Source organism: Homo sapiens, chromosome X (genome assembly GCF_000001405.40).
Source record: "Homo sapiens chromosome X, GRCh38.p14 Primary Assembly".
Taxonomy (NCBI): domain Eukaryota; kingdom Metazoa; phylum Chordata; class Mammalia; order Primates; family Hominidae; genus Homo; species Homo sapiens.
In genome coordinates, this window is record NC_000023.11 from 50631600 (window position 1) to 50655272 (window position 23673).

Below are 23673 nucleotides of genomic sequence, written 5' to 3' on the forward strand. Positions count from 1 at the left end.
GTGTATGTAGAAAATGTTTTATAATCCACCAAAAAGCTATTAGAACTAATAAGTGAGTTTGGCAAGGTTGCAGGATACAATGTCAATACACAAAATTCAATTATATTTCTATAGACTAGTAATCAAGAATTTCAACTTGACATTAAGAAAATAATACTCTTTATAATAGCATCTAAAAACATAAAATCTTAGGGACAAATATCCCTGGTGGTTGGGTGGCTAGGATTCGGCGCTTTCATAAAATCTCAGGGACAAATATAACAAAATATGTACAAGATTTGTATGCTGAAAACATAAGTTGAATACAGCAGTATACTTCAAACACACTTCAGCATACATATTAAATAAAGTTTAATATTTGTTTACAACATTTTTAGGCAAAATTTACTTCCAGTGAAATGCACAAATACTAAGTGCATTGGCTGTCTAGGAGCCTTGCTATACATTTGTTGAGTTCTGACAGGTACATATGTTTAACTCAAACTCTTACCAAGATATAGAACATTGTCACCACCCCACAAGTTCCCTCTGCCCTTTTCCAGTCAATCTCTGTGCCACCTCCCATTGGCGAGCAGTGTTCTGAATTTGTTCCCCCATAGAATAGCTGTTTTAGAATTTCATATAAAAGGAATTGTAGAGTTCATAGTCTTTTGTGTAAGGCTTCTATCACCCTTGAAGTTCCTTTTTACCAAGGATATATATTGAGCAAATTCAGATACTAAGTCATTTCAAAAGTGTCTGTGTATGCAACAGCTGAACACAGGAATTAACTTCTGGTTTGAATGCACCGGCCAAAAGATGGCATCAGGGATGCCATGGGGAAGTAATCTGGCAGTGAGTAGGCAAGGACCTAGGGAGTCCTCCCAGAAGTAGCCTGGGGGATGGTGGTAGCTTGTGTTATGGTAATAGGTCATAACCGGGATATAAGAGCAGCCAGTTTAGACCTGGGTCTCCAACAGAGACAGGATGGAGAAAGGGGAAAGGATTTGTCTTTTTAAAAACCCAACAAGTCAGATCTCTGAAAGCAAAGCCTGGGGATATTTGCAAGTTTTGCATCTCTAAATACTTCTGAAGTAGAAAATGGGAGGCAATAAGTGATATTTTGTATCATGCACTGGGCCTAGAACTCCATAGACACAATCTGATTTGATTCTCACAAGTGATCCATGAGGCGGCCATGATATTCCTCCATTTTAGAGATGAGGTAGTGAGACTCTTCTTAATACTGGCTATTTTATGACAGAAAAATTATTTTTTCCCTTTAGAATTACATACTTCAAATTTGTGTGGTTGAATGACTTGCTTTGGGTCACTCAGATATCAATTTTATAGTCAGGATATAAATCTCAGTTGTGCCCATTTTATGAAGCAAAAGTTACTTTTATCTAACCCTAAAGATGAGACAACTGCAATTTTGGTGGCTGAGTATCTTTTTCAAGGTTACTAAGCTAACAACTACTGAAGCCAGTGCTGTACAGTTTCAAGGAATTATAATTGTTATATTTTTAAATAATTTACGTAGCTTTCCCCTCTCAAAGACAATAATGAAGGTTACCCACCCAAGAACCAAGTCCTCACCTGCACTGTCAGCTTCCTGGGTTTCCAAGTGTTGCCAGGTGCCAAGCTGCTGTCCTCGAGGGCACTGTGCTGAGGATTATGATAGCAAACTGAACACCGAATGCATTGGTGGTGGTGGCACCGGCAGTTGTAGCAATTTGGCATCATATTTCTCTTTAGCAAGGCAGGGCAGATTTCCCCAGAACAATAAATGCAAGGATCATGGACTAGAGCTCCTTGAACACTGCAGGAGTAAGAGCAGGTCCTGTGGTAATCAAAATCACCACAGTGTAGTGGCTTACAACACATGGAATTTTCTAGACCTTTGCTTGCAAAACATTCTGAGTAAGTGGGAGTTTCTGACTGAAGGGGTGACATGGAATGATATGATTGGTCTGTGGCATGATATGGTTGGTCTGCGGAATGATATGATTGGTCCATGGGATGGCGCCTCAATTCCCTACAGCTGGAGCTCATTGGCTGGAAGTTTTGGTCTATAGGTTTTGGTCTCTGGGTAAAAGTCTTGTTGCTATGAGTGGTTAAACCTGGCAAATGAGATGTAGATAAGGATTTGCTACTCTCTTCAAAGAACTTTCTTCTGTCTGCAAAAGGCAAGAGGATGGCATCCTCCCCAGCTTGAGCAGTAGAAGCCTTCAATTCCTTGTTGTCACCTGGGTTGGAAGGGCCTTCCATGGCTGCTGCCACAAGTGGCTGTGAATTATGCTCTGGAGACCATCTCCAATGACCTCCACGGACTCCACAGTGAGCATGTGCTTTCTCAGGGTCTGAGGAGGATGGGTCAGGTGCTTTCCACCAGGTGTTCAGGCCCAAAGAGGACTGGCCAGGCCTCTGGCCAGGGCTTATTCGTCCCTCTAAGCCTGTCCTAGATTCATGGCTCTCAGGGGCTTGGCTGAGGCACTCGGAAGACCTAGCTCTGAGCATCATGCTTTTGTTGAAGAGCTTGTCTCTGGGGCTGGGAGGTTTTTTACATGAAGATAGAAGAGATGTGTTAGAGGCAGTGAGTGGAGGACTTTCTGGGGGCTCCTGGGTCTCTTCCACTGGCTCCTTAGTGTCACACAGCTGTGACAAGGGACCCTTGCTTTTCTGGAGCTGGGCCTTCCTCCTCTGAATTTCATTACGCAGATTGGTAGCAAAACGCTCACTCTTCCGCCGGTTTTGGATCGAGCGGCCCCGGGTCCCTCCACTTCGCCTACCACCCATCCGGCTGCACTCCTTGGGCTCGCTGTCCCCTTCTTCACCTGCCTCTGTGCCACTAGCTGCTTTAGTGGTTGAAGAACAGTCCGTGGCTTGTTGAACAAGGGAGCCAGAGGCAGAGGGTTGCTGGTTGGCCAATTCACTGGCTGCTCTGCTTGTTCTGTTTGGGTCCAGGAAACCTTTTTCTGAGGGGTGTCCATCAGCCTCTCCATGTGGGGGACTGCTTTGGCTCTGGTGTCCCAAAACTAAAGACCTGTCATCCACTTGTCTGGTCTTTCTTTCTTTGCTGGACTGGTCATGGGTTCCTCCTGTAGGGGGGCATGGACTTTTCTTCCCTTTGTGGCTGCTGTGCAAAGGGGACAGAGTCCACTGGTGCCCATCCTGTACGGGTGGGAGCTCCATCCCTTTGCTGCCCCTGGTATCAAGGTGCACATGCTGCAGGTGGGATGCCAGCAGCTGTTCAGGGGCACTATGGCGATGCCCTGTGGGTCCTATGAGATGTGGAGGTCTGCCAAAAGAAGCCTTAGCTAGCTCTGCAGAAGCCTCATTGAGTGGGTTGGAATCCACGCTGGAAGCTCTGTCACAGGCTTTTGGGGATCCAACAGCTTTGGTTGAGGCCTGCATCAGTAGATGCTCAGAGCCCTGTTGGCTGGATTCAGGAGGCTGACTGAACTCACAGTTCTGATGGCCCTCACTTGTCACTTGGTCATGCCCACTGAGGCAACAGAACCTATTAGGGTTCCTTGCGGGTAGCACAGGCTCTAAGCTCAGTTTCTCCTTCTGTGGCAAGGGGACCACAGGCTCAGATGCCCTGCGCTGCTCTCCATTGAGGAGTTGGGCTCTGGAGGCCTGAAGGCTGTCCCGCCTCACTGGAGGTTGTGGTGGGCCCCTGACTGCTTTGGCGGGCCCTGACTGGTATCCCTCCTGTGGACGGGATGACATCTGAGAGCTGGGGGTCAGGTGGCCCCCATTGGTGCGCCGACTACCTCCTGAGGTCTCAGCCACATTAGGCCGGCCACTGGGGGCCTTAGTTGGCCCTGGGCCTTGCATGATGCAGTCTGTAGAGGCTGGCTCCTCTGGCCTGAGGGAAAGGGCACAGTCAGAAGCATTTGAGCTGGCCGAGAAGGAGCTGTAGGCTGAGTCACGCTGGTTAGGGTACATGTTCTGGTCAATAGGCAACAGATGGCTCTCATAGGTGGCTTGGCCTGGTTGCTCCAGGCTCTCCATGCTGCCAATGGAGCTGCTTTTCTCGGTGCTGCAATGCCGGGAGAGTGGACACCACTGCACACACACGTCACTGTAAGACACAGGGCATACTGGTTAGTTAGCGAAGTCATGGCCAGCCCTACTATAGGAGAGGGCAGGCCAGCCCAGAGGTACCCATGCCACAAAAGAGAGGAGGGTAGGCAAAAAAAAAAAAGGGGGAAGAAAGGGAAACAGGGAAGAAGATGGACATTGGGGTGCCTCAGGGGCTTAGTAAAATGGGACACAAGATGATATATGGAAAAAAGATGGGGAAACACCCCAAAGACTAAAAGTGGGAGAGCTCTATGGGGGTTATCCTCTATTTCCCTGACATTAGCAAGTCTGAAATTGCTTCTAGGCTGTCCCTGTCCCTAGGGAGTCAGCATGTGGCTCCCTGCCAAAAGAGACAATCACAGAATATCAGCATTAGAGAGGGGCCCTAAAGGGCTGATTCAGTTTTAGCCGGACCATTTTGTAAATAAATCAGTGATTCTCAAACTTGAGCATGTGCGTCAGAATCACATGCAGGGCTTGTTGAAACACGGGTCACTTGTCCTCATCCTAGAGCTTTAGGTCTCGGTGAATCCTGAGAATTTGTACTTCCAACAACTTCCCAGGTGCTGCTGGGGCTGCTTGCTCATCCAGCAATCACACTTTTGAGAACCACTGGTGTAAAGCAAGCCCAGCAAAGGGAAGTGATTTTGAGATGGTGATTTACTCAAGAACACCCAGCTCTAACTACTGGCACAGACAGGGCTGTAATTCAGGTGTTCCCCTATTCTTTTCTTGATAATAGCAATCCTGACTATTTACTGAGGACCTACAATGTGCCGGACACTTTACAAGGTTTCATTTCAAGCTGAAGAGGACAGATCTTTTTTTTTCTTTTTCAACCTTTATTTTAGATTCCGGGGGTACACGTACAGGTTTGTTACAAAGGTATATCACATGATGCTGAGGTGTGGAGTACAATTGAACTCATCACCTGGGAAGTGAGCAGAGTACCCAACAGGTAGTTTTTCAACCCTTGTCCCACTTCCTTTCTCCCTGCTTTTGTATTCTCCAGTGTCTATTGTTCCCATCTTTATGGGACAGATTATTATCTACACTTCACAATGGAAGAATCTTAAGCTTAGAGAGGTAAAGTAAACTGACAAACTCACTAAGCTGCTGAAGAAGCACAGCTGGAATCTGAATCAGGCCTGAGTCCAGTGTCTTAGCGCTACTGCCATATGGTCTTTTAAATAGGAATAATAGTAATAGCTATATCAGAGGGTTGATGTGTAGATAAAGCAGATAGTAAATGTAAAGTCCTTACCACAGCCCAGGTACCTAGCAAGGGTTCAATACATGGCAGCTGCTACTCTCTTGATTATTAGTTTTTGCCATCAGGATCCTCTCTAATACTAGTATTGATAATATAGGGGCCTCTGCCCACCCACGCCTCCCCCAACTCCCACAGCAAAGCCAAACCTGGAAGACCAAGGGAAGGGCTAGGATCAGATGCAATCTTCAATTTTAAGTACCATTTCCCAAACACAAAGCCAAACTGAACCAAGTCATGCCAGTAACTCCCTTTGACTAGAACCCGAGAGGTTGCAGGCTGCTCTCAGAAAGGCCATAGTCTAGAAAGCCAGAGTTGAACTGTGGCAGCAGCCCATGAGACCCTCAGGTCATTTTCTGCTCATTCTTGCTCCCTGCCTTGCCCCTTAGTCAGTCAGCTCACTTGTTCTCTGGGCAAGGAATCCATCAATTTCTTATTGGCAAGGGAACCTGCTACCCACTCCACCACTATTCCTGCTGAAAAGAACAAAAACAAAAACAAATCCTCACTCAAACAGGAGCCAAGCTCAAGAATGTCAAAGTGTGTTTCTGCATATTCTTCCAGAACAAAACTGCCTGTGCCCTGAGCCCTTGGTTTCCAAATAAAGTCACCGAATTGGGGTAAACGCAACCCTTAGTTTCTCTGAACCTGCAACAGAAATCCCTTCTTGGAGGGAAGCTCTTGTGGAAGGGAAAAGGCAGTGAAGGGCAGCACCTTTGCTGGCTCTCAGCCTGAAGAAAACGTTGTCTGCCTCTTGGGCAACTGTTTCAACAATGGTTATTCAGGAAGGTCCCTATTTTGAAGGCTTTGGCTATGTGACAGAGGTAATAAAGACCAGATAAGGGCACCAGTGAGTCGCCATTGACAGAGAAGCAGGCCAGAACTGAGCCCTGGGGTCCTCCTACATTAAGAGACAGGAGAACAAAAGGAATTAGGAAAAGAGATACGGAGAAAGAACAGCTAGTGAAATAGAATGAAAAGCAGGACAGTGTGGTGTCTTGTAAGCCCAATGAGGTATTTCAAGGAAACATCATCCAGAAGGAAAGGGACTAGCCCAAAATCACAGAGAATTAGCAAGAGACTAGCACTTGAACTCAGGTACTCTGGACTCCCACTTGCTTTTCCATTATAGTACTTGAGGCTCTAACATCCAACAGGGACTAGAGCAGAGGAGGAGGAGTGTCCAAGGTGTCTACCCTCCAGCCTGTCTTGAGGGGAGGGCTCTAGACTCACCTTGTGTTGCAGCCAGAATGCCAGGACAAGCTGAAGGCTTCAGAAGGGAAATGCATGGTGGTGGCTGCTTCAGGGCATCCCTCCAGCAGCTTGGCCACATGCCATGAGTGCGGCCTACTGACAGGGGCGTTCCTCCTACAGCAAGAAAGGGACAGGAAGTGGGCTGAAGGAACCAGAGCTGAAATCACTTCCCAGGCAGCTTCCGCCCCACCCCCTCTTTTCCTTCAGTAAAGTAGAACATCTTGCAAGGAACTGGTGTGGGAATCTTAGTGGCCCTCCTGAGCTCCTAGTTCTCAAGTCTCCTTCATTCTGGAGATATGGAATGTCAGCTTCATAGGGCTGCTTTGTTCACAAGAGTATCCTGAGCACGTATCACAGTGCTGGACACATAGTAGATGTTCAATAAATATTTGTGGAATAAATGAGTGCTGCTGCCTAATGAACAGTGAGCACATCCTCACTTCTCTTTGAGAAAGAAAATCAATCTGGTCAATCTTCCCATTTTTCTCTGAGAAAGGAATGGGCAAGTGATTGAAAAGTTTGAACAGGTCAACACTGGGCTGTCAATTCTCCAATTTTTAGCCATTCATTGAATAAGCATTTGTTGTATGTTTACTGTGTGTCCTCTACGTGTAACTCTGGGATTACAGAGATGAATCCAATACAGTCTTTGCTCTTGAGAGCTTACAGACTAATGGGAGAGACAGAGCTGGTTCAAACAAAGCATGGGATAGGTATTGACAGAGTGAAAGATAAGATGGGTACAGAGGTGAGACACCTGAGTTGGTAGGCAAACTGGTGGCAGGAAGCCCCAACTCCTGTGAGGGAAGATAGAACAAAGTGGTGAATGCACCATGTTAGGCTGACAGAGGAGATTGGCTGCTCAGCAGGTCAGGGGTATATAAAGGGAAATAGGCCTGAGGCCATGACTCTGAATACAGCCACAACTTTTGCACTGACTGCCACATACAGGACCCATCGCTGTCCCCTGGCATACTTCGCATGAGCAGTTGCCACCCTTGCGAGTGGGGAAGAGTAGTGTGGTGAAGAGTACATGTGGGGCATGGATAATGCCAGGAGATAAAAAGGTGATTGATGGGAGGGAGAATGACAGAAGGAGGGAGAGTAGAGAGAGAATGGAGAGAGAGAGATGCTGGAAGCGCCAGACAAATGATAGAGATAAGAAGGAGAGATGATAGAGGGGAAAATAAATGACAGAAAAAGAGAAAACTCTGAGAAAGATTGTAGAGAAATATATAGTAGAGAGAAATGGATGACAGAGAAAGAGGTGAATGGCAGAGTAAAAGAAACATGATAAATAAGTAGATGATACAGAAGTAAACAGAAAAATTATTTTCATCAATTTATTCATATTTACTGTGCCAGGGTCCAGACTAGGCACTGGTAGCACAGGGTTGAATAGGATAAGGGCCCCTGCCTTCAACAAGCTGGCTATATCGTGAGATAAAGCAGCTCTCTACCTCCCAGGAGCATTCATGGTCACACTCAAGCTGGAGGATTCCATCCTAGCTGGAAATGCCCCTCACCCCAGCAGAAGCATAGAAGATCTCAGTAGTACAAGGCTCTAGAGGGCTAAGGCCTAAAAAGATAGTCTTCAGAAGAATAGCCTTGCTGGGGAAAACAAGGATTGAGTGGTAATAGGCCAGACACAGACCAGGAGGTATAGGAGGAAGGGCAGGGGAAGCTGTTTGTCAAAGGCCAGGAAGTATAGCCACAGGTCAGCAACAGTGGCTAAGATTTAAGCGGAGGAAAGCCAGGTGAAGCCCCTAGCTTTGTAATCACATTGTTCTATTATTGATTTCAGAGTGCCCAGAGTGGGGGCTGAAGGCACAAGGAGACCTTGGGGGCTATGCTTGCTCTGGAGTCCTACACACAAAGCCACACTGCCGGGAAATCTCTCCAGCTGCTGCTACCAGGTAGTTATCCGGTCAACAACTATTTGTCAAGCATCTACCAGTAGTAGTACTATGTACCATGGGTATCTACTATGACCTATGCTTTTAGACACTGAGGATATAGTGGTGAACAGGGTATCCTTCCTATTTCAAGCCTTTTTCCATATTTAGGGTTCTTGAGTTCTGGGTTTAAAGTGCGGGCAGTCAGCCTTGGTGCCACCTTCTCCCTAACCATCCAATCCCACACGGAGTTCTACTGAGTCTTTTTTTTATGATGTTTCTCTGGCCCTGGTTTGCTCTCTCTCTCTCTCCCCCTACCCCCCCTCCATTTTCACTGTGGCCATTAGACAGAACCACAGCTCTTCTCCCAGAACCCACCACCAGCAGCTCCTGTTCTAGTCCAGGCCCTTGAAACTTTATGCCCCAAATACTGCAGAAGTCTGCCGGCCTGTCTGCCTTGTTCTACCTCCAGTCACTGCTTTTAGGTCATATCATGTTAAACGCCAACTGAATTGGGGTACTCTCCTATTCAAGAATCTTCACTGGCTCCCTATTTCTTACTCTGTCCCACATCAAACGTAAACTAGATCAGTTTCAAAGTCTTCAATAAGCTATCCTTACCCATCAGCTCAATCTCTCATTTCTCTGCTCCAATCACAGCCTGCAACCAGCTCTGTCCCTTCCTGATTCTGTGCCTTTGCTGTTGATATTCCTGTTGATCTAACACAGGCTCTGGGGTCAGACCACCTTTGTTTGAATCCCAGCTCTACCACTCATTAGCTCTGTTGCTTTAGACAGGTGACTTCACTTCTCAGAGCCCTAGTTTTCATGGCAGTAAAATGTGGATAATAGTACCAAATGGGATTGTTGAAAGATCAAATGAGACAATGCAAGTGCTTTGAATCAGGCCTGGCAAGGCCTCGACCAATCATAGTTATGACTATGACTGTTCCCTCTGCCTGGAATGCCCCCTCTCCTTTTGTTAACCTAAATCCTACCTGTTCTTCAAGGTACTGCTCAAGTACCATCTCCTCCAGGAAGCTTGTTCAGGGTAATCTAGCCCTCACAATTGGGTCCATAATAATATGATATTTGATATTGCCCATCATCATTTCATGTGTGTCAGTCTCATCTCACCAACTATACCAAGCCAGTAGGCAATGGGTGAAAAATGAGTGAGACAGATGTAGGTTCAGATCCCCTCTGCCACTTTAGATGTGTGTATCTGTAAGTTGCTTAACCCATCTGAAATTTAGTTTTCTTATCTGAGAAAGGAAACAATAATTCCTATCTGGCTAGGTGACTGTGGGGATTAGAGATAGTATTCTCAAAGCATCTGGGACACAGCCTGATGCACAGCAAGTGGTCAGTAAGTAGCAGGTACTATAATAATGGTTATTAGCTCAGACTTGTACCTTTTGATGGCTCAAGAGTACCCACACCTAGGGTACCATCCACTGTTGAGGTTCTACTGTACCACTACCTTGCCACACTGTGAAACATACCTTACAAAGACTCTTACTATTTTTTTTTTTTTTTTGAGACGAAGTCTCATTCTTGTCGCCAAGCCTGGAGTGCAATGGCACAATCTTGGCTGACTGCAACCTCCGCCTCCCTGGTTCAAGCAATTCTCCTGCCTCAGCCTCCTGAGTAGCTAGGATTACAGGCATGTGCCACCATGCCCAGCTAATTTTGTATTTTTAGTAGAGATGGGGTTTCACCAGGTTGGCCAGGTTCATCTTGAACTCCTGACCTCAGGTGATCCACCCGCTTCGGCCTCCCAAAGTGCTGGGATTACAAGCGTGAGCCACTGCGCCTGGCTGGCCCCTTACTCTTTCTAGGGTTTCTCCAGGAGTAGGAACCAATCCCAAAGTAGACAGAAGAGGGAAGTGGGGGCTTTTAGGACACAGAGAAAACTAAAGACTGGAAGAAGAAAAATCCAAACAGAGGGAGCTGGAGCCAGAGCTAGAGCCTTCTAACCCTAGTTTGGGACAGGAGAATAAACTATCTATATGGTCTACTATTTGGCCTATTATTAGCTCGGAATAGCCCTAGACTTGAAGTCAGTCTACACTTGCATTCAAACTGTAGTTGTGTGGCCATGGGCAAGTCACTTCTGCGAGTTGCAGATTTTTTATCTGCAAAATGGGGAAGATGACCATCTGTTTTTCATGAGTTATGTTTTGGATTAAATGCAGTCCCATGTGTGAAATCAACCAGCATAGTGCCTGACATACTGTATAAACTTAAAGAAAACACACAGCAGGACCACTTATTGAACACTGAAGATGTGCCAGGCACTAAGCATTTCACATGCATTAACTGATTTAATCATCTCTCTAACCTTATGTGAAACAGTTTTATTATTGTTATTATTATTAAGACAGGGCCTCTCTGGCTCTGTTGCCCAGGTTGGAGTGCAATGGTACACTCATAGCTAACTGCAACCTCAGACTCCTGGGCATAAGCTATCCTTCTGTCTCAGCCTCCTGAGTAGCTAGGACTACAGGCTACAGGTGCATGCTACCGTGCCCGGCTAATTTTTTTGTATTTTTTGTAGAGATGGGGTTTCACCATGTTGGCCAGGCTGGTCTTGAACTCCTGGCCTCAAGCAATCTTCCTGCCTGAGCCTCCCAAAGTGCTGGGATTACAGGCATGAGCCACCATGTCCAGCTGGTAAGTTATTATCCCCACTTTACAAATGGAGAACCAGAGATGCATAAAGCTTAAGTGATTCGCCAAGAGCACATAGCTAATAACCAGCAGAATTGGGAATGAAACTCAGATCCTCCAGTTTTTTCCTAGGATACCACACGACCCCTCCTCTCCAAGGAAGAGTCTATCTGAAAAAGCCTGTATTCCTGAGGTTTCCCATAGCAATTCCCTCAAGAAGCAGTCAGCAAAGGGAGGTCTCATTAGTCCTAGAGCTGAAACCATTCCCTCCATAGGCAGTGGGGAGAGAGAGGAGGAGAAACAAACAGAAAAGTAAGAAAATGCCTACGACCAACCATGCAGCTCTAGGCCAAGATGTGAAGGCAGTGACCCCAGTGCTTGCCTTTCTCCTAAGGCTGGCTCAGGCACTATCAATAAGCACACACCTCATCCCATCCTTCATTACTCCAAAATGCTTTTCTTAGGAAGCAAAAAGAAAGAGATATTGAAGAAAGAAAGCAAGAGGGGGAAGAGTGGCAGCAGCCATGGCTACTGGCTGTACCTACCATGGAAGTTGCCCAGGGTGGAGAGATGGCTTGGGAGAGAGCGGGGTATCCGGCTAGCTCAGACTCTCGTTGACAAACCCTCCAGCCAGCGTCCTCCCTTAGCTGGGACCCATCTGCCCTCCAGTTAAGACCTTCTGGGGCGAGGGACCATCAGCCCAAGATGCTGAGTGTGATCCAAGGGGCTCAGGCACAGTCAGGTTCCAGTTCTAAGAACAGGAAGGAGTAGCACTGAAGGCAAGGTATGACCATCAGCCTGGATGGACCTAGATATGGCCACAGCCTTAGGGAACGAAAGCCAGTGTCAAGAGCTGGATAGGAGTGAAGACGCTGCTCCAGGAACCAGCCAGCACCCTGGTGGCAAAGGGAAGGATGAAAGGCACTTCCAGCAGCATAAACAGCCCCCCTGCTCCCTACTCCAACCTCCTCTGAGCCCTGGCCCACCCCCTCGGCAGCTCAGAGGCCAATAAGGAAGCTGGGCCCCCAGCCACTGCTAGAACTCAGGAAAGGAGCAAGGAAATGATGTTTGGGAAAGATAAAGCGGGTGTCTAAAAAGAATTTTTAAAAATACACGTAAGTGAGAGAGAAAAATACCCCAGACACATACACTTAAAAGAATTCCTGTGCTTCCTGGACTGAGTTGACCCCACCCAGCCATCTCTGCAGGTCCTCTGGGCCCCAGAAAAGTACAGATAAGCCAGGACTAGCAGCCTCCAGGTCCAGAGGAGTAGCACTCCAGCTGATTTTATATAGCTGGGGGCAAGTGACTGAGAGATTTTCCAAGGTGAAGGTCCTGGTGAGATACGAAGGCTCACAAACATTTTCGGATGTATTTACAGGGGTCTGCACTTCCTGTGCGGACTTGAGCAGATCCAAAGAAAACCCAATTTTACACCAGAGACTTCAACTCCAGAAAAGGTGCCCATTAGCAATGCTGGAAATGTGGTGTTTGGGGTCAGTGTCCCTGGATTTGCCATGAATTCACTCTGACCTCTGGCAACTTACTCCCACTCTCTGGGCTTCTGTTTCCTCCCTGTAAAATAAAACATTGAATTCAATCGTCACAAATGACCCTTCCCACTCTAGCATGCTATGATGTAGTAGTCCTAGGCCCCAGGCTGAGGTTCCAAATGATGCCCTAAGTGATTAGCGCAGTAGCCAGAATCCAGAGCAGCCCTATGTGGATTTGTTGCACCCCCTAAGCCCAGGCTCAGGCACCAGGATTTAATTTATCTTGGGGAATTAGAGTCAGGGTTTTCCTTTCATTAACACTCCCAATTCCCTACTCCAGTTTCCCTTGGCCTCTGGCCTCAATTCCAGTAATTTCTGGCTCCTGAGAGGGCTTATGCAAACTCCCTTAGGACATGAAGTATGTATGCTAGGGCCTTTCCTCTCTGGGGAAATCATGCCTGGAGGCCCCTTCCCCTTTCTTCCCTCTGTATCTCACAGGAGAGTCTGGGTTGACTTTTATCAACTGTATAGGGGAAAGTTTGGGAGCTTTGAGGAGCATATGGATCTGGCTTACAGTCTCAGCTCTACCATTCACTAGTTGTTTGGCCTTGGGCATGTCACAGAACCTTGGTTTCCTCATCTATAAAACATGCCTGGCATGTAAAAGGCACTCAATAAATGCTATCTGTTTTTAATATTACCCGTATGCAAAATAATAATGAGCGAGGTACCATTAGCAATAAGAAAACTGATTTCTTCAATCCAAATGAAGATAAAAGAGAAAGGACTAGTTAAGAGAAGGCTCAAATGCCAAACCCAGTACACTCTGGAACAGCACTCTCAAATTGTAGTGGGCATACTAATTACCTGGGGATCTTGTTAAAATGCAGATTTTGATTCAGCGAGGCCCAGGTTCTGACTTTTAATAAGCTCCAGAGTGATACTGATGCTCCTGGTGTGATAACCACATTCTGAGTGGCAATATACCAGGACATAATCTGGTCCAAAAAATGCATCAGGTTAAAATCTCTTTTCATTTCATTCCTCAGGCCTGGGTGTCCGGCCGCCCTTGCTCTTCTGGTCGCCAAATGTCTTTCTCCTTTTGCTCAGTGGCCCAGCCCATGCAAACGCTTGCCTGAAGAAGTTTGCCAATCCCCACTTCCTAACAAAATAAAGAGCAACTGGTTTGTTATCAGTGTGACCCTGCCAGTGGCCAGGTGAGGCTGAAGAAATTGTGACTAGAGGTGCAAGCATGTTCATGGAGCTGGCTGAGGTAGGGAGAAAGGGTGCGAAGATGAGAGTTGGGATGTCATCAGATGAGGAGTAGGCAGGTGGGCACAAATAGTGTATACTCAAGAAATCCTTCGTTGAGGGAAGATGAGAGAGAAACTTGAGCGGTTTAGCCAGTTTGGGATTTGGGGAAGAGGTTGGGAGAGGTGGTGGAGGGAAAAGGGCATATGCTCCCATTTAGCGGAGCTGAGTTCCAGATAACATGATCAAGTATGACCTCCTGTGCTCAGGGGACGGTAAAGATGACTGCTTCTTTTCCAAGTACTCAGGAGACGTGAACTTGGCATGGGGGCACAGGAGGGTGGGCACATGCAGCAGAAAAGCCAGAAGCTGGCTCCCAGGAGAGGCCTTATAAAGGCTCTTGTGAGAGGTGAGGGGTGGAGGTGGACCAATTCTGAAAGGAGTCAGTCTCCAGCTGCGCTAGTCAGCTGTCACCCCAGTATCTTCCGATAGCACCATCTGTCTTTGAGCCTGGCTCCCAGCAGACCCCTGAAGAGATACTTGGGAGAAGATGAGCAGAAAGAGAACCATGACTCTGCTCTAACTTAGGGGAAAAAGGAAAATGTAACCCCTGTTGCTTGTGGTTGTGCTCAACCTGAGGCCTGGACCATAACAGAGTGTGGGTACTTTCCTCTTTTTAAAGTATTTATATAAATAGAAGCACAAAATAACGTCCTTGATTAGCTCTGTTTATTTTCTGTGGCTCTTCCAGCCTCCCTCCAAACAGCACATTCCACCTGCCCCACACGAAGAAGCCCAAGCTCATTCTGGCAGGCTCAGCAGGAAGGGAAGCCCACAGACAAGCCGGAGGACAGAACAATGCATGGCTTGTTTATTTGACAGAAGAGGGGAAAAGCTGCCTGGTCACCATGGAGGGACACAGAGCTCTGAAGGCCCACCCCCACCCACTGTTGGCTGGGGTCCTTGCAGCCTGGTAATCAGGAAACCCTTCCTTATTATAGACCCAACCAAGGGGGGAAGAGTGTGTGTGTGTGTGTGTGTGTGTGTGTGTGTGTGTGTGTGTGTGTGTGTAATTTGAAAGAGAACTTTCAGGACAATGGCTTTCTCATCAGTCTGGGAAAGCTATAATCTGGGTCATCTGAGAGATGAATACTCTCTGGAGAAGGGGCTTTTGGTACCCAGCTCTGCCTCCCTGCCTCCCCTCCTCTCCCCACCTCCTCTGAATAGCCAGTTCAAGTTCTTCCATGTAAATCTGCTGGGTCCCCCTCTCCACCCTCCACCTCAGAATCCATCCCTGGCTACAAAGAAACCCAGGGTAGGGAATAAGAAAAGAAGGGAATGTTCGAGTGGAAATAAAGACTCCCCACAAATGCTGTGGTGTGTGTCAGGGGTGCTCTTTGTCTTTCTGCATAGGGAGTGATAACTTCATCTGGCTAGGGCATTACATTTGACCCTCTGCTTCCATTTCTCCATTTTCACATTGAAATCTTTAAGACACAGGGGGACACCTCTTTTTCCAAAGAAGGTTGGCAGGAAGTAACCATACAGATGACTCGGGAAAGCTCTGCACATAGCAGCGGGTAGGAAAATGCTTAGTACTTTAGAAATGCAGTACTCGGGATTCTCTTTCAGAATGGGCTAGAGAGAAATTTCTAGTTTTTCTATATATAGTGTGATAAAACATACCAGTCATAGACTTGTTTAACTGACAGAAGAGGGAAAAAGCTGGCTGATCTTATCAATGATCCTAAAGGCAAAGAGGTGGATAGTGAATATTTCGAAGCTTCTAGGAGCAAGGGGAGCAAGTCCAGAATCTGAATAATGAAAGAGTTTTTTTCCCTCTCCCTTCTATGTACAGAAGTTAAGGGTGCAACACCAGAGGGCTAAGGGAGACTTCAGAGGAGCACATAGGGAAAATGGCATCAAGTTCACAGTGCACCATCTGACTCAACAGATAGCCTTAAAGGTTTTGCCATGATGCCCAGTTTCCTAAACCAACACCCAAAGCGATAAAGAAGGTGGAGGATGTTTGTCCTCCAGCTCTGGTTTCTATCAGTAACATTTATAGCGTCCCTTGGGAAAGAGGCTGTAGGAATAATACCAGTTTTCTTTTCTTCCTCCTTAAAGCCCATTATCCCTTTCAGTTCAAACTCACTGTTCGACCTACCACTTTTCAGAGGTCTGATGGAATCCATAAAGGTTTTCCCCAGAGTCAAGTCTCAAAATCCTCAGAACTACTTCTGGCCACTCCCCAGGTCATCTCTACTACTAAAGACATGGAGCCCTAGGACAATAACCAACAACAGTTAGGACCCCAATAGAAACAAGAACACCCAGTCACTCTGCTTTGATACAACTTGACAATCAGGAGGAGCCAAGACCCAGCAGAGCTGGAGCACAGTGAGCAAGGTGGACTGCAGTGGGAGATGATACTGGGGAGGTGCATAGGCCAGATCATGGAGTTTCCAAAGGCTGAAACAGTTTGAATTTTATTCTCAGTGAAATGGGAAGCTGTTAGAGGTTGTTAAGCAGGGGACTAACATGATGTAAGTTTTATAAAGGTTTGACTTGGCTGATGGATTTGTGTGTGTGGGGGTCAACAGTAGAAGCCAGAGAACCATTTAAAGGGGCTATTATAGGTAAGAGATAATGGTGGTTTGTTCTAGGAAAGTAGCAGTTGGGACAAGAACAAGAGATTTGATTAGAGGTATTTTGAAGAGGTAGGGCTGACAGTATTTGTTGATGGACTGAATATGGAGAATGAGGAAAAAAGAATGAGCTATGATACTTGAGTCACCTGGCATCTGTACCTTCTTAGCACAGTATTCATTCCTGAAACTGAGTCATTAGGGGCTCTAAAAAGAAAATTGGCAGTCTTCACTATTGTTTTGTCCAAGCATTTACAGAGCTCCTCTATCTACATTTAAGGTGTTTGGAGAGGTACTAGGCAACATGCCAAAATGAAGAAGAAGTAATCCCTGTGCTCAAGGAATTAAGTGTGGTAGAGGGTGGATGAAAAATACCTAGAAAACCATTAAAAAGGATGGAATGTCAGAAGTATCAGAAAGGAAATGCTAACAAAATGAGAGTCAAAAGAAGGAGAGAGCACTGCTGCCTGAATCAAGAATGGCATCACAGAGCCTCTGAGCTGATTTTGGAAGAGTCAATACAATCACCACTGAAGATGACTGGGAGAGAGGCCATGCCAGATTTGCATGAACAGAAGTGAGAAGCACAGGAATACCATGAAGGAAGAAAACACAGTTTTTATAAGGCACAGAGGAAGTGAAATTAGAATGATTCAAGAGCATGGTGGGCCTTAAGAGTCAAGTTAAAGCCTTTACTTCACATAATCCAATAAGCAAGAGAGAGCCCTTGGAAGTTCCAGAGTAGGAGAGCAATATGGTACGAGCGGTATTATAGGAAAGTTATTATGGTAGCCATGTGTAGGATAAATTATGTGGATAGATACTGGAAGCATAGAGAAGTGAGTAAGCTAATGGAATAGACACAATAAAAGGTAAAATCAGAGCAATGGCAGTGGGGATGGAGCAGAAAGGAAGAATGTGACAGAGAATCAACAGCGTTGGACTGCTAATTACATAAGCAGAGAGAACAGATGACTGTGAAGCACCTAGAAGGCTGATATCAGTAATCTAAATAGCAAAGTCATAGGCAAGAACCAGCTTTAGGAAACATGAGTTTGATTTCAGATATTAGTTTGTTATGCTAGCAAATTCTGTAGGTAGGTGTGCCCAGCGAGCAGCTTGATGTGTGGACTGCAGTGCTAGAAAGAGGTTGGGGCACGGTATGGACATGTGGTCACTATCCAGAGGAGGCAGCCGAGGCTGTTGCCGTGGATGTGACTGCCCACGGTGAATGTATGCAAAGGAGACGGGGGATGATAGATCTCTGCAGAGCTATAGTTCAGTGAGAAGAGGAAGAAGAGCTGGTAATAGAGACAAAACAATGAAATGCCATTTTCAGTCATATTGGCAATACTTTCTAAAGGTAAGTGCTGACAAAGTTGTGGGGAAATAGATATACATTGGTGGGTGGGAATGGAAATGGGTACACACTTGCTTAAGGGAATTTTGGCATATGTTATCAGAAGACTTAAAATGTTTCTACTGTGCTTGCTTTGGCTGACATAACTAAAATTGCAATGATACAGAGATTAGCATGGTTCCTGCACAAGGATAATGCACAAATTTGTGAAATGCTCTGTATTTTTACTGCAATTAGTGGTAATGGTTTCACAACCTTGTGAATGTACTAAAACCCACTGAATTACACACTTGAAATAGTGAATTTTATGGTATGTGAATTATATTTAAGAAATTTCATATCCTTTGATCCAGTTTTTCCACTCCTAGGATTTTATCCTAAGAAAGCCATTAAAGATGTACACATTTATTTATGTACTTGAAGTGTCTTCCACTGCAGGGTTATTCATAATGGTAAAATTTGGAATATCCTAGCTGTCCAACATTTAGGAAGAGTTAGAACATATTGTGCATTTACATGGAGGAATAATAGTTTGTCATTACAAACCATGTTTTTGAAGACTACTTAATGATCCTGAAAAAGGCTCACAATGTAATGGTAAATTTAAAAATTGTATATAAACCTGAACATATTACAAGTTCAATTCAAGAACTATATATGCATATATACATATTCTTATACAGATATGCAAATATTGAAAGGCTGGATGTAAATGTACTAATATTGTATCAGTGGGTATTTATCTTTGTGTGGTGGAATTAAGGGTTATTTTTATTTTTCATACTTTTAAATCATTTCTAGATTTTATACACCACACATGTATTACCTTTTAAATAAAAAGAGGTTTCTTTTTTTGAGATGGAGTCTTGCTCTGTTGCCAGACTGGAGTGCAGTGGTGTGATCTTGGCTCACTGCAACCTCCGCCTCCCAGGTTCAAGAGATGGCCCTGCCTCAGCCTCCCGAGTAGCCGGGACTGCAGGCACGTGCCACCACGCCTGGCTAATTTTTTTTTTTTTTTGTATTTTAGTAGAGATGGGGTTTCACCATGTTGGCTAGGATGGTCTCCATCTCCTGACCTCGTGATCCGCCCACCTCGATCTCCCAAAGTGCTGGGATTATAGGCGTGAGCCACCGCAACCAGCCATAAAAAGAGGTTTCTAAAGAAAAATGTCACCATTCTACATGGACATATCATTTACCCAGGCAACTGTCTGATATAACTGTCTGACATATTCTTAAATTAGGAATCTGCAATTATACTGGTGATTTCACTTAACTATTTCAAAGATCTAGATTTTTCCCTCAGGGAAATCAGCCTAGAGCCCACCAACCTAGCAAAATGCTTTTTTTCCACATAATTTTGCTGCTTGGCAGTGGATTCTTTTGTCTTACTATTTTTTAAAAATTCCATCTGACAGTTTTTTACCCTTAATATTAGCACTGGGAGCTATTCTTTGCTGTGAGAGTAGACCAGGGCTGGAAGAACCAGGAGCAAGTTTGAGAGGAGGCCAGGCAAAGGAAAAGAGAAGTCAAGTCAAGGTCAGTATCAAGGCCATGCCCAGTGTGTTGAAACAAACAAACAAACCAACAAAAAAACACTACTCAGGGCCTTCCTGGGTTTAGTTCTTTTCCAGCTGCCTGATAGACTTGGTGGGACAAAGTTGGCTAGAGAGGGAACAAAAGTACAAGAAAATTTAGTGGTGGTGGTGGAGGTGTGGCAGCAAGTACCATTTGTAAAGCCATCTAACTGCTAATATTTTTATGCAACATTTACAGTTCATAAAGAACTTTCATATACACCATTCCATTTCATTCTCATAACCTTACTAAGTCCACCTCAGAAAAGAAGAAACTCAGGCTTAGGGAGGTGAAATAAATCACATAAGGCTTGAACACAAGTTTTTTGCATCCAAATTTCTATGTCCCCCAACCCCCAAATAGTGTTTTTCAAAGTTGTTCTATAGACCAGCATCAGCATCACCTGAGAACTTGTAGGAAAGAAAATTCTGGGGACCCATCCTCGACCTTTTGGATCAGAAACTCTGGGGGTGGGGCCCAGCAATATGAATTTTGGTTTTGTTTTTATACTTTACTTTCTGGAATACATGTGCAGAACGTGCAGGTTTGTTACATTGGTATACACGTGTCATGGTGGTTTGATGCACCCATCAACCCATCATCTACATTAGGTATTTCTCCTAATGCTATCCCTCCCCTAGCCCCTTAACCCCCGACATGCCCCAGTGTGTGACATTCCCCTCCCAGTGTCCATGTGTTCTCATTGTTCAACTTTCACTTATGAGTGAGAACATGTGGTGTTTGGTTTTCTGTTCCTGTGTTAGTTTACCTAGAATGATGGTTTCCAGCTTCATCCATGTCCCTGCAAAGGACATGAACTCATCCATTTTTATGGCTGCATAGTATTCCATGGTGTATATGTGCCATATTTTCTTTATCCAGTTTATCATTGATGGGCATTTGGGTTGGTTCCAAGTCTTTGCTATTGTCAGTAGTGCTACAATAAACATACGTGTACATGTGTCTTTACAGTAGAGTGACTTATAATCCTTTGGGTATATATCCAGTAATGGGATTGCTAGATCAAACGGTATTTCTGGTTCCAGATCCTTGAGGAATCGCCACACTATCTTCCACAATGGTTCAACTAATTTACATTCCCACCAACAGCGTAAAAGCATTCCTATTTCTCCAAATCCTCTCTAGCATCTGTTGTTTCCTGACTTTTTAATGATTGCCATTCTAACTGGAGTGAGATGGTATCTCATTGTGGTTTTGATTTGCATTTCTCTAATGGCCAATGACGATAAGCTTTTTTTCATGTTTGGCCACATAAATGTCTTCTTTTGAGAAGTGTCTGTTCATATCCTTCACCTATTTTTTGATGGGTTTTTTTTCTTGTAAATTTGTTTAAGTTCCTTGTAGATTCTGGATATTAGCCCTTTGTCAGATGGATAGATTGCAAAAATTTTCTTCCATTCTGTAGGTTGCCTGTTCACTCTGATGATAGTTTCTTTTGCTGTGCAGAAGCTCTTTAGTTTAATTAGATCCTGTTTGTCAATTTTGGCTTCTGTTGCCATTGCTTTTGGTGTTTTAGACATGAAGTCTTTGCCCATGGCTATGTCCTGAATGGTATTGCCTAGGTTTTCTTCTAGGGTTTTTATGGTTTTAGGTCTAACATTTAAGTCTTTAATCCATCGTAATTTTTGTATAAGGTGTAAGGAAGGGGTCCAGTTTCAGTTTTCTGCATATGGCTAGCCAGTTTTCCCAATACCATTTATTAAATAGGGAATCCTTTCCCCATTGCTTGTTTTTGTCAGGTTTGTCAAAGATCAGATTGTTGTAGAGGTGTGGCATTATTTCTGAGGCCTCTGTTCTATTCCATTGGTCTATATATCTGTTTTGGTACCAGTACCATGTTGTTTTGGCTACTGTAGCCTTGTAGTATAGTTTGAAGTCAGGTAGCATGATGCCTCCAGCTTTGTTCTTTTTGCTTAGGATTGTCTTGGCTATCCAGGCTCTTTTTTTGGTTCCATATGAAATTTAAAGTACGTTTTTCTAATTCTGTGAAGAAAGTCAATGGTAACTTGATGGGGAGAGCACTGAATCTATAAATTACTTTGGGCAGTATGACCATTTTCACGATATTGATTCTTCCTATCCATGAGCATGGAATGTTTTTCCATTTGTTTGTGTCCTCTCTTATTTCCTTGAGCAGTGGTTTGTAGTTCTCCTTGAGGTCCTTCGCATCCCTTGTAAGTTGTATTCCTAGGTATTTTATTCTCTTTGTAGCAATTGTGAATGGGAGTTCACTCATGATTTGGCTCTCTGTTTGTCTATTATTGGTATATAGGAATGCTTGTGAATTTTGCACATTGATTTTGTATCCTGAGACTTTGCTGAAGTTGCTTATCAGCTTAAGGAGATTTTGGGCTGAGATGATTGGGTTTTCTAAATATACAATCATGTCATCAGCAAACAGAGACAATTTGACTTCCTCTCTTTCTATTTGAATACCCTTTATTTCCTTCTCTTGCCTGACTGCCCTGGCCAGAACTTCCAATACTATGTTGAATAGGAGTGGTGAGAGAGGCCATCCTTGTCTTGTGTGGGTTTTCAAAGGGAATGTCTCCAGCTTCTGTCCATTCAGTATGATACTGGCTGTGGGTTTGTCATATATAGCTCTTACTATTTTGAGATGTTTCATCAATACCTAGCTTATTGAGAGTTTTTAGCATGAAGGGTGTTGAGCTTTATCGAAGGCCTTTTCTGCATCTATGGAGATAATTATGTGGTTTTTGTCATTGGTTATGTTTATGTGATGGATTACATTTATTGATTTGCATTTGCTGAGTCAGCCTTGCATCCCAGGGATGAAGCCGACTTGATCGTGGTGGATCCTCTAGATGATTCTAATGCACGCTCATAAGTTTGAGAACCATTACTGTAGCATACATTTTAAAACAGATTTTCAAGTGACTTCTAAATACGGGCTGCTGCTATTTTGGCTCTTGTGGGGTGCTGCTTTCCAAGGTAGGCTGGAAGCCTACCTTTAGCTATCAGTGCTATGTGTATAATAGAGGGCAGCTGCTTAAAAAGTATTTAGGTTCCAGGGACAGGAATGTTCTTCTTTAGGGTGAGGAAGCTCCCAGGACCAAGAGGGCAATTCTTGAATCACAGCTGCCCTTGTCAGGGGGAGATAAGTGCTGGTGAGCAGTTGCCATATATGTACTTCCCTGGTAAGGCTTCTTTTCATTAAGGCTTTTGTCTGGTTCCACAATGTTCACATAAGCCCTTGGGAAATTTCTCTTTCTGAGGTATTTACATTCACAAACCTCAAGTTCATCAAGCTGTTCATTTCATTTTGCATAGCTTTATTAAGGTTTAGTTGACAAATAAAATTGTACACATTTATAATATACAATATATTTTTTCATACATGTAAACATTGTGAAATGATTAAATAAAGCTAATTTACATATCCATAACCTCAAATACTTATCATTTTTTGTGGTGAGAACATCTAAGATCTACTCTCTTAGCAATTTAAGTATACAATACATTATTATTAACTACAGTTACTATTCTGTATATTAGATTTCCAGAACGTACTCCTCTTGTTCAACTGAAGCTTTATAGCCTTTGATCAACAGCTCATTTCCTGCCCCACCCGCCCCATTCCTGGTGACCACCATTCTACCCTCTGCTTCTATGAGTTTGATGTTTTACTATTATAATTATTATTTTTAATATAATTTCAACCTCTATGTGAGATTCAGGGGGTGCATGTGCAGGTTTGTTACATGGGTATATTGTGTGATTCTGAAGTTTGGGGTATGAATGATCCCAACACCTGGGTACTAACCACAGTACCCAATAGTTTTCCAGTCCTTGTCCCCCTCTGTCCTTCCCTCCCCTATCTAGTAGGTCCCAGTGTCCATTGTTGCCATCTTTAGGTCCATGAGTACCCATTGTTCTTACTTATAAGTGGGAGCTAAACATGTGGTATTTGGCTTTCTGTTCCTACATTAATTTGCTTAGGACAATGACCTCCAGCTCTGTGTATGTTGCTGCAAAGGACGTGATTTCATTCTTTTTTATGGCTGCATAGTATTCCATAGTGTATATATACCACATTTTATTTATCCAATTCACCATTGATGGGCACCTAGGTTGATTCCATGTCTTTGCTATTGTGAATAGTGCTGCAATGAACAAACAAGTGCAGGTGTCTTTTTGG

The 23673-nt window shown here is 44.5% G+C and overlaps 1 protein-coding gene and 1 pseudogene across 17 annotated transcripts in view, besides 1 other annotated feature; one reads left to right on the top strand and one right to left on the bottom strand.

Moving 5' to 3' along the window:
* The window catches only part of SHROOM4 (shroom family member 4), a 238661-nt gene that overhangs the window by 56066 nt on the left and 158922 nt on the right, over window positions 1-23673 (bottom strand). For 9 of the 17 annotated variants that reach the window (XR_007068196.1, XR_001755718.3, NR_027121.3 and 6 more), the window contains exons 3-4: window positions 6575-6709; window positions 1579-4069 (exon numbers count right to left, since the gene is read on the bottom strand). Coding sequence is in view for 8 of the 17 variants with exons in the window: in NM_020717.5 (NP_065768.2) it covers window positions 1579-4069; window positions 6575-6709 (2626 nt within the window). In the remaining 9 variants the exon portion in view is untranslated. Of the gene's footprint in view, window positions 1-1578; window positions 4070-6574; window positions 6710-11708; window positions 12074-23673 lie in introns of those variants that run through there. The other 8 variants (XR_007068197.1, NR_172068.1, XM_047442279.1 and 5 more) reach the window with 3 other exon arrangements.
* Window positions 3308-3809: an enhancer, noted in NCBI's record as "H3K4me1 hESC enhancer chrX:50377907-50378408 (GRCh37/hg19 assembly coordinates)". NCBI's record gives its function as "activates a minimal SCP1, AML or CMV promoter by ChIP-STARR-seq in primed H9 embryonic stem cells {active_cell/tissue: H9 hESC(primed)}" and the evidence as "EXISTENCE:reporter gene assay evidence [ECO:0000049][PMID:30033119]".
* On the top strand, window positions 18042-18141 carry RNU6-935P (RNA, U6 small nuclear 935, pseudogene; annotated as a pseudogene).